This window comes from Homo sapiens, chromosome 7 (assembly GCF_000001405.40).
Source record: "Homo sapiens chromosome 7, GRCh38.p14 Primary Assembly".
NCBI lineage: Eukaryota > Metazoa > Chordata > Mammalia > Primates > Hominidae > Homo > Homo sapiens.
This window is the reverse complement of record NC_000007.14, coordinates 46,344,380-46,352,947: the sequence shown is the minus strand read 5'-3', so window position 1 is coordinate 46,352,947 and position 8,568 is coordinate 46,344,380. Positions and strand designations below refer to the sequence as shown.

General features: G+C 38.4%; 1 annotated feature.

Annotated features, from left to right (window-relative positions):
• Positions 263-557: a silencer, noted in NCBI's record as "tiled region #15376; HepG2 Repressive non-DNase unmatched - State 12:CtcfO". NCBI's record gives its function as "represses a minimal TATA promoter and a strong SV40 promoter by Sharpr-MPRA in HepG2 cells {active_cell/tissue: HepG2}" and the evidence as "EXISTENCE:reporter gene assay evidence [ECO:0000049][PMID:27701403]".

Genomic DNA, 8,568 nt, shown 5'->3' with positions numbered 1-8,568 from the left:
AAAAATAAACATCTAGTCACCTTGATTAGGCCCTAAATTCCTCTAGGACTTGAAAAGATTGTGGATTTTTTATTCTTTTCTTATAATATCTACTCAAAAACATTGGGCAATATGATGTTGTCCATTGATTAAGTCATTAGTTTATTTCCTATAATCAATTACACTGCAAAATATTATAAACTAGTAGTTGTAGTCTCAAAAGGTAGCACAGTGTTTTTTTTTCTTCACACTATTTTTGAGAACCGGAGCTCTGTGACTTGTGCAATTAAAATGCATGTTATTATGGACCAGCAAACCCAAGTCTTGAGGACCAATTGGTAAATCCATGGGGATTTGCACTCCTGCATGGCCTGTCTTTGGGAGGTATTTCCCTTCATAACACGTGCCACTAGGTGCCAGTGTTGTTCTACCAAAGTGACCCTCCAAAAGTACAGGTGGTCCCCAACTTTACATGCTTAGCATTCTTGAAAATGATGACTTTACACAGAAGGTAGAAGAGCAAGTCTAGTAGGGAAATGAACTGTGTAACTTATGTTTGTACAGGTTTGACATCACCACATTAAAGAAATGAACAAAAAGATTGACTAAAGGGAAGTACAGGTGCTTATTAGGTAGCATTAAATCAGTTTAGAGACAAAGAATGAAAAATGATCTCTGCTGAGATACTCTTGAATTTGCAAACCAGGCATGCTCAGTTGTTGCTCATTGAGCAAATGCAAAATGATCTAAAATTAGTATTCAATTTATGATACTATTGCACAAGAAACATTTCCTCTCCCTCCCCTTTCTCTTTCTCTCTCTCTTTCTCTTACTCTATCTCCATATATACATACATATATATATATAGCTCTCCAGTAAAGCTTTCCACATATGGAAACTTAGAATGCAAGTAACTTGTTTCAACATGCCTTGTACCTGTACCTGAATAATTATGTTAAAATAGTTTGTCTAATTATCATCAATTAGAAGGAAGCTAATGCCAGATTTGCTTGTGTTTCTAATAAATTCTTTGGCTGTGTTTTATCCCTGTGCTGTGGTATATACAGAATACCAAGTGATTATTACTGGTGATCAGTTTGCCATAGACAATACTAGTTGCAGGAAGTATATAATTCATGATCAGTGTAGTCAAGCCTTCCAGAAAGAAAAAATGGATAAATGGTGTTTGACATAAGGAGAAACTAATGCAGACAACCAAAGTTATCGTGTGTGTGTGTGTGTGTGTGTGTGTGTGTGTGTGTGTGTGTGTGTAAGAGACAGAGAGAGAATAATGTGGGGGCAGGGGAGAATTCATCATGGCTGCAGTGTTTTTTTAATATAGCAGCACAAAAATACATGTATCTGTGGGATAATAAAATGAACAGGTGAATGTTATGGGTCAAAATTTTCATCATTGGAAACAGTTCTAAGAGAAGAAGAAAAAAGCACTTTGCTTTTTGATTCCATGTTCATTTCAAGACAAATCCTATATTACCTAGCGAAGCGGCAGAGTTTAATTTCCCATGCTACCTGAGATTTAAGGCATCTCGGCAGAACAACAGCAACAACAAATAACAACAACAAAATCTTTAAATCCCTAAATAATGCAGCAATAGCAAGCAGAACCATTTGCATGGTACATCTTTCTCCTTCATTTTACAGTAAGCACATTATTAGGCAGCTGCAAAACTATGAAGAAACATTTTTCAAACAGCCTGATGAAAGAGACACGTTCCTGAATTTGAAAGCTTCATCTATTCAGGAAAATCTTCATGTATATATCTTTAAATATCATCTCTACCAATTGCTTTTATTATCTTCTCCAGAATCTAATAAAATAATAAACTTTCTCATTGTATTTTTCATTCATCTTCATTATTTAAACAATATTTCGTATCTTTGTCTATATTCCAGAATTTTAAATCAAAAATATGTCAATATTTCAGTAACTTATTGATATATTGCTCATAAATAAAATCAGCACTATTGGCAATGACTAATTTTGTGGGTAACAACATCAGAAGGTTAAAAAAAATGCTGGACAAGAACAGCATGGGAGGAGGAAGTGATGAGAAGAAACACTTGTAAGTTTTCTGTGCTGCTCTGTAAGCACACAGAGAGAGTGATCCCGGACAGCTATTCTATTATGTCTGAATGCACCAGTTTGTTTAGCCATTCATTTGTCGAGGGACATATGGGCTGTTTCCAGTTTTGGGTGGAGTCCTTTTTGCAACTGTCCTCGGCAGCCCCCCAGTCTCTGTGCTGAAAAGGGGAGTGTCTCTGTCTCTTTAAGACAAAGCCATCACTGGTCACACTGCTTGTGTCAAGCCCCTCTGGCTGTTGATCTTGTGTTTTGCACAGAACAGGGGAGTCTCTGGCCTGCAGGGATGGGGAAGAGACTTCCTGGGCCAGGTCCCTCTTCTGTCAAGGTACCTCTTGCTGGTTTTCCCCGAGAGTGTCAGTGTCTCCTGCTGGCAAAAGACAGTCTTGGAGCCAGTAGAGGAGAGTGGGTGCCCTGGCTGCTTGCTATTGTCAAGAGTCCATTTTGATCCCCCTTGCTGGAGGTGCCAGAGATCTCAGGTCAGCCCAGGGAAATATGTTCCTACTTGAACTGTCAAATGTTGCTGGTTTGGGGGTGGGGAAATGCTGAGTCTAGGTGGCCTTTTTATGTTGGGTTGAGGAGCTGAGATGCCCTGCTGCTCTGCTGTTCCTCCAGTTCTGGGGTCCTGGATAAGTCATGAGTTCTCCTTCCTCTTACTGCTCTCCAGGCTTCTCCCATGGCTGTCTGCTGCATTATTTCTATAGTTGGGTTTAGCAGGAAGGAGCAGAGAGAAAAAGGTCTCCATGATCTCAATAGGCCAGTAGCAGCTGCTAACAAATTGTTAAATAAATAGAAATATCACTCTACAAAACATGTTGGAGGTAGCAGAAAACCTCAATGGACAGATAACAATTATATTAATTGAAACAACATTGAAGATATTCACAGAAAACAACAAAAGTGGCATTTATTAAGTGAGTTGTATCAAGCATTTGAGGAACATAAAATTTTAATCTTATGCATGACTTCCCGGAGAATAAAAATAAGGAGTACTCCCAAAGTAATCTTAAGACTATAGGATAAATATGATATGAATCACCAATTTAGGTATGTAGAAAAGAAAAACTACAGATCAAAATTATTTATGGGCATAAATGAAAGTATCCTAATAGAATTTTAGAACACTTCAGCCAATAGTATGTTAAAAAGATAAGATCCAAGTTAGCTTCTCCTCCCAGGAATGCAATGCTGATTCCAGTTTAGATAATCTAATTCTGTAGTTAATTGCTTTAAAGATTAAAGAGACAAAGCACATGATTCGTGCAGTTTATGTAAAAGCAGCTTTTGATATAGAAATGTTAAGAACCAGTGTAATAAGAGGTTACACGGGGTAAAAAGGTGTTAACATGAGAAAGCTGCTGCCTTTCAAAGGAGGTGCCAAACCACATGTAAACTTTTCAAAGAAGAGAGCCAAAGATAATTATGTGACTTTTTCATCCCTTCACCCAAAAAAAGATTAAAATGGGGGTACAAAGTGCAGCCTTCCACATGTCTAGACACAGAGGAAAATGGAATAATAATTTCTTCCACATGACAGACATTGGTAATAATTAAGAAACTGGGGCCCGGCGGGGTGGCTCACGCCAGTAATCCCAGCACTTTGGGAGGCCGAGGTGGGCGGATCATGAGATCAGGAGATCGACACCATCCTGGCTAACAGGGTGAAACCCTATCTCTACTAAAAATACAAAAACAAAAAAATTAGCCAGGTGTGGTGGCGGGTGCCTGCAGTCCCAGCTACTCGGGAGGCTGAGGCAGGAGAATGGCGTGAACCTGGGAGGCGAAGCTTGCAGTGAGCCCAGAGCCCGCCGCTGCACTCCAGCCTGGGCAACAGAGCGAGACTCCGTCAAAAAAAAAGAAAAAAGAAATTGGAATTAAGATCTCATATTGATACTATTTCATAAATATAAGCTGAAGTAAAAAACTTCTACAAAAGAAAATGTTGGTACAAATATAGAGCAAGGAGCATTTCAACACTATGTGTGTATTTCTGCAAACTGAAGAGAAATTTGGAAATATTGAGTATATTAAAAAATGTATCTGTGATGCAATCCAACAATTCCATTTCTCTCCTCTAGGAAGAGAGTGTACCTACTCTAGGAAGAAACATGAGCATAAGGAGATGTGCGCAGGGAGAGTCACGGCAACTTTACAAGTCACGGTGGCGGCCAGACAGGTTCTCATGATGCTGCCACCAGAGAAGGCTCAAGCAGGTTGCTAGGTCTTCATCCCGGTGTAAGCAGTGAAAATGACTGCCTTAGAAATGCAGGTATCCATATGAAAAGATATTTAAATATAAGAAAAAAATATAAAAAGTAGAGGAAGAACCATACAATCAAAGAATATGTTGGCCTGGGAGTAGTGATAATAAGAGTAGAAAAAACAAAAGTCATAAAAGTATATATATAATGTTACTATTCTACAAATGTAAAAATATACAAAGATGGTAACATATTTTTACAGTTTCATATATATGCATGTGTGTATGTGTGTGCATATACCTCAACTTTACCACTGGTAAGGTGGACTGGAAACCCTGGGACCTGCAGCCACAGCTGGACTCCCTCAAACCCCTCAACACCATAATGTCTTATGTAAGATGTTACAAGACGTAATTCAAGGTCATGGTGACCTCTAGAAAGAAGAGAGGGGACTCAACCTTGGAAGGCTATGAAAGACAATGGTTTTGTAACGTTTTATTTTACTAGCAATTAGAGAAGCAATTATGTTTATTATGTCTTATATGTGCATATATCTGAAATATTTTATAATTTAAAGACAACTAATTGTCGGTCTGCAGCTGATATTAAATCCACAGTTTTGTTCCCTAGAGAAAAATTAGGAGCAGGCTCCTGTACATGCCTCTAGAGGTTTCCCTTGCACATACACAATGGGTAGCTCCAGCTATTTCACGCTCTACTTCTGTCTCTATCTTCCCTGTCTCTATCTCTTTCCATATCCTACTTTTATCCCTATGCCAATTTCCATCTTCTTCTCTATTCTTAATTCTGTACTCTTCTCTCTTGACCTCTGTGTCTTTCTCTCTCTTGATCTAGCTTTCTCTACCTTTTTATCTACTTTTAAAAAATCATACTGCAGATACTCATTCTATAGTCTGCTTTAAAAACATTTAGTCACATTCCCTCAATTTATTTCCATGTCAGCTCATGTCAACACATTTTATTGTTTCTTATATCCCCATGGATTTTCACAGATTTCACAGATCATTTATCTTCCACTATTACCAATTATCACCTGGTCATTAATTGTATTTTGTTATTACAGACAAAACTTCCTAAGTGTGCATACTTTTGCATGAAATTTGTAGGAAAAATTAAAAGAAGTAGAGTTGCTGACTCGGAATAGTTTCTACATTTTGATAAAAATTAGTACTAAATATTATAAAACTTCTTAAATATTACTAATATAAGAGGTAAAATACATCATCACTTTACTGAGGAATTTAAATAAGTATATCTTCACATAAAGTTTATTCTTTTATAAGATTCACCCATGAAACTGCTCTTATTCTTATATAGAAGACTATCTGAGTGTTTTTAGTTTTTCTCCATCATTAATCATTAAGATTTATAAGATGTGGAGTCATTTACATTTTATTTCTCTCTTCTTGGGTTATTTGAATGTTTATAGTTCCCTAAAGTCACATAGAGGTTTTCACATGTATTTGCACACAGTAATCTATACAATTATTTAACTTCCCCCCGAACCATTTCTACTTCTCTCTCTCATTTACAGTTTTGTGTACTTCTTTTTTCTTGAATTAACTACAATTGAACTCCTTTAATACTACTGTTATCATTCTCACCCACATCTGCTCTTCCTTTGATGCACAATGGTGTGTGTGTTCCTGAAGGAAACCCTCACCTGTCTCTGTGCCACCACACAGGACTACCAGAAGGAAATGCTTGGTTACCCTCTGTGCAGGATGCGCAAGCACGTGGCTTTACATCTAGTTTGGCAACTAATCCCCTGACTTCTTTATCTTCCCTCAAGTGAAGACATAAATATTTTGGAACATCAGCTAATAATGGAGAAAAGGTAAACGTCATCTTCATTTGAAATCTCTACAATTAGAGTAACCATGCCACATGGAAATTTGGTTCATTTCTCAAGACCTGAAAATTGCATCAGTCCTAAAAGTTGACTCTCCTATCTCCTTCATCATGGTTCACAGAGGAACATTCAAATCATGCCCCCCACTGACTGAATGAATGACCTCAGACATATTCCTTAATATTTCCAAGCCTTATTTTTCCAATTTCTGAAATATAGACAAAATTTAATGAACATTTGAGGAAGATCTAATAAGGTGTGTAAGGACAGAGTCCATAGACTGGCACATATTAAGTACTCAGAGTATGGGTTATTGTTAAATTTCTATTTTAATTAGTATTAGATGAGAAGACTGTGCAAAGCAGTGACCAAGCCTGGCACCTTCATGCTCAGAACTCTTGGTATCCAAGCAAGCTGATGGTTATGCTAATTAGCTTGATTTAAACCTTCCACATTGTATACTTCTATCAAAACATCACATTACATTTCATAAGTGTAAGTAGTTACGATTTGTTAATCAAAAATAATCTTTAAAAAAAGAACTCATGGTCGTACTTTATTGCCCATGAATAATCTAAACTCCCTGGTCTGTCACACAAAACAAAACCCGTTGCATTTCTAATATGTTTATTATATTCAGCCCAATCCCTTCCCATCTCCCTATCTATTGCCGGCAACAAATTGCCACAGGAATTAGCAGCCTAAAACAGCCTATATGTATTAGCTCATGATTTCGGTGGATCAGGAATCCAGGCACAGGTTACCTGGGTCTCTTGCGTAAGATGAACAACTCATCAGAATTTGCCCAGGATTTTCCCTGTCTTAGCACCAAAAAGACTTCATCCCAAAAAATTCATTTCCAGGCATGCTGGGATGGGTTTCTAGAAACTGCATCAGTTAGACAATAGAAAGCCCTGCATCCCAGCCACTTCCCTCAGTCCAGGGCCAACTGGATGGCTGGTCACCTAGCTGGAGGTCTCTCACCTAGCTGCATCAAGGCATCGGCTGAGCTGGAGTCATCAGAAGGCTCAACAGGAAAAGAATCCACTTCCATGTCCACATAGTTGGTGGTAGATTCATTTCCTTTCTGCTTGTTGGCCGGACATTGTCCTCAGTCATTTGTCTCCAACATGGCAGCTTGCTTCATCAAAGCAAGGAACTGAGAAGGCAATAGAATTTGTTAGCAACATGGAAGCATCATGTTTTATAAACTAATGACAAGGTGACATCCTATGGCTTTACCATATTATGTTGGCTGGAAGCAACTCACAAGGCCAGCACACTCCAGGGGAGAGAATTACACACTGGCAAAAATACCAGAAGGCAGGAATCTTTGCAAGTCATCTTAGAAGCTGCCTAAAATGCCCCACCTCCAGGAACCTCATTCCAGAGCTACACTGAGAGCTCAACTTTCCCAGTAGTCTTTTCAGTTTTTTTTAAATTTTGATTTTTCATTGATGCCTGCGTGCCCCTTTATTCCCCATGTACTAATAAAATATTCGTATTCCAAAATAATCAAATCCAATGACAATTCTATTTTAGAAATATTCCTGATCTTCCTGCCCTCATATTCTCCAGGCATCATTAACTATTCAACCTCTTTCTTATGACAGTGTGTGTATGAGTATTAATTGTTTACTCTATATGACAACTCGTTGCTTAAGCATTTTTCTTCTCTAGCCCATCAAGTCCCTAGGTAAAGGACCTTGTAATCTATTCATCTACAGAACAGTCTCTTTCACTTCAAACCTTTTCCATAAACAGTGCTCTAAAACAAACAGAAAAAAGCCTGCTCCTCATTTCTGTCAAGCCCACTGAAACAGTCCCAGGTGGAGAAGCATTAGAGAAGAGGGCTGCACACCCAGAGGCAGGGGCAACATAGAGGTGCTCTTCAAAGTCAGAGGGGACCTTGACAAGAGAATGACTTAATGCTAAGTCACCACCTACACTTCACACCCTACTATTTCACCTGCTCTCGGTGTTTCTAGGGGAAAAGTATTCCAAGAACTGTTAAACCCCGTGGTGTGTTTCTGAGTAATTCATCCCCATCATCAGCCTTGGTTCACAGGGTGGGGAGGCTTGGCTTGTCCTGATGCGATATTTATCAGTCAACACAGCCATTACCTAGTGGCTTTGTTGAGACCTGCAGAGGACTTAGGGAAACGTGGAAAACACTGAGTGCACTTTTTTTTCCTACTGAAGATATATATCAGTAAATGATTAATCAAAGAAAAATATTCTTTGAAAATAGCTCCATACACACCTTTTCATAGACTCTTAGATTTATACAGAATCCAAGAGGTCAACCAGACCAGAGATTCTCAAAGGAAACCCCTCTCATGAGGGAGGTTTTGTTGTTGTTGTTTAACAGCTAGACATATTTAGGTGAAATATTGAAATAAGCATTACATTTC